Genomic DNA, 2,434 nt, shown 5'->3' with positions numbered 1-2,434 from the left:
TTTTCTCCTCTTCCTCCTCCTCCATTCTCTCATCCTCCTCCTCCTCCTTCTCCTCCTCCTCCTTTTTCTCCTCTTCCTCCTCCTCCATTCTCTCGTCCTCCTCCTCCTCCTCCTCAGGTTGGGGCATTTCTTCTTCCTGAGAGTGGATGTCATCTTCCTCCTCCAAGATCCATCTTAGCTGCTCATTCTTTTGCAGTGCTCTCTTCAGGTGTTCTGGGGTGATGCACACCCTGTGGCTGTTCTGGGCCTCCTTGCCTGCCTGTTCCAGGATGTTGGCTGTCAGGTACTCGAGAACAGCAGCCAGGAAAACAGGTGTGGTTGAGCTCAGGTGCCGGGCATACTGACCTTCTCGCAGGCAGCGTTCCATGTGGCTAACAGGAAACTGCAGCTCCGCTCTTCTGGAACGGGAAAGGCACTGTCTTCTAGGCTTACAGGAGCTGCGACTGTGTTTGTTTCCAGCCATGATGTTTGCTGGGTTTTGCCCCGGTTGTCACAGCTTGATTTTTCTGCTGGCCTGAGTCTCTCAAGGTGCCAGTGCTTACTGCAGCCCACTATACCCCTGTGCTCCAGCCCCTCACTGGTCATCAGTTGCCTTAGTGACAACCTCCACTTTGTGATGTCATTGGTGTCCACTGGGCCGTGATCAGGCCTCAGCCTAGAAATGCCCATGAGAGGAATCTGGTCACCCTAGTAACTGGAACTTCTTTTTAAGGGAATGCTAACTATCTACTTGATTTTAACATTCTAGCAAAAAATGTGTGTTTCAATGAAAACCTTTTCCTTGTTCATAGGATACAACTCCATGTAATCTATCTGATTCTAGTCCTGCATTGTCTTTGAGCTCTTTTACATCCGTTTGTAAGTTGTAGGTCACTGAGAGACATGCACAACTTAGAGACCTCAACGGTAGGTTCAGTCTCCCCAGACCAATACACACTACACTAACCAGTTTTGCCTCCACTGACATATTCCATTCACTATTCCTGATCAGTATGCATGTTTCTGTTCTTTGGATTCTCCATTATACTGGTTATAATATCTGCCAATTTCCATATGTGATAAATATTTTAACGTGCTCACATTTGTGTGAGTGTCATGATTTTACACTCTTGATAATTATCTTTACCTGTTTTGTAGGACACACTGATATGTCCAATTGTTTTACCTACTAGAACCATGTAAACTTTGATGACAGAAGCGCACTACACACATGCAAGTTTGAAGCCCAGCATGTGTTGTATTGACTCTCCTATGTGAATCTAATTCACCAATAGTACTTTGTTGACTCTGTTTTTATAATTTGTGTTTTCCTCTATGCTAATTTAGTGTTTTGCTTTTGGTTCATTTTTGTTTTGTTTTGTTTTTGGTTTATTTTACAGCCAATAAGTTTTTCCCATTGTTGAAAACCATGGTTGGGAATTGAGTTTTTGGCTTTGTATTTACTTTACTTTTTAATTAAGTTCACATAACATAAAATTTATCAATTTAACTATTTGAAGTGTACAATTCAGTGTCCATTACTACACTACATTCACAATTTTCATCCCTATCAGATTTCAGACTGTTAAGCGGTCACTCCTATTCCCATCTCCCCACAAGCTCCTGGCAAAAATTAATCTACTTTCTATCTTTACGGATTTGCTTATTGTAGGCATTTTATGTAAATGGGACAACACAATATGTGGCCTTTTGAAATTTAGCTTCTTTCATTTAGTATAATGTTTCAAGGTTCATTCACATTATAGTGTGTATCAGTACTTTATTCATTTTTATGACTATAAAATAGACCATTATATGCATAAATCACATTTTTTAATCAATTCATTAGTTGATGGGCATTAGGGTTGTTTCTGCCTTTTGGGTATTATAAATAATGCTGCTATAAGCACTTGTGTGCAAGTTTTTGTATGAACGTGTATCTTTGATTGTCTTGTGTATATACCTAAAAGTGCATTTGCTTGGGCGTGTGGTGAGAATTGGTTTTATGATCTGACCATTTGGATATTTTCTAAATAGATTGATAGTTTGTAGAGATCTGTTCTTTTTTGAGTGAGAGAAAACAGAGTCTGTTGCGTCAATTGTTCTGTCTATTTTTCAGCTCAAACCAATGAAGAATTTCATGCTCCTTGGGAAGGAAACAACTACTGGATATCTGTACCAGGGATTTTTACTGTTTCTGTGTTTACTCTTGAATCATGGCTGAAATTTGTAAAATTGAAATTAAATGCTCTATTTCTCTATTTCTGCATGTCTACATGTCTATAATTTGGAAACACCTTCAGTTATGATTGTGTGAGGATGTAAGGTTTTCTTACCTCCACATGGTATTAATATATTAGATTATGAATTCTTTAAAATTAAAGGCTGAAACTTCCAGCTTTGCATCTCCTTCCGAATCATCCTCGAGGCTTATTGCATCTGATACTCATGCACT

The 2,434-nt window shown here is 39.5% G+C and overlaps 1 pseudogene; it reads right to left on the bottom strand.

Annotated features, from left to right (window-relative positions):
* H2AL1Q (H2A.L variant histone 1Q) lies at positions 160-463 on the bottom strand (annotated as a pseudogene).

The sequence above is a fragment of the Homo sapiens genome, chromosome X, assembly GCF_000001405.40.
Source record: "Homo sapiens chromosome X, GRCh38.p14 Primary Assembly".
Classification (NCBI taxonomy): Eukaryota; Metazoa; Chordata; class Mammalia; order Primates; family Hominidae; genus Homo; species Homo sapiens.
Note: the sequence above shows the minus strand (reverse complement) of the source record. Positions and strands in the feature narration are given on the sequence as shown.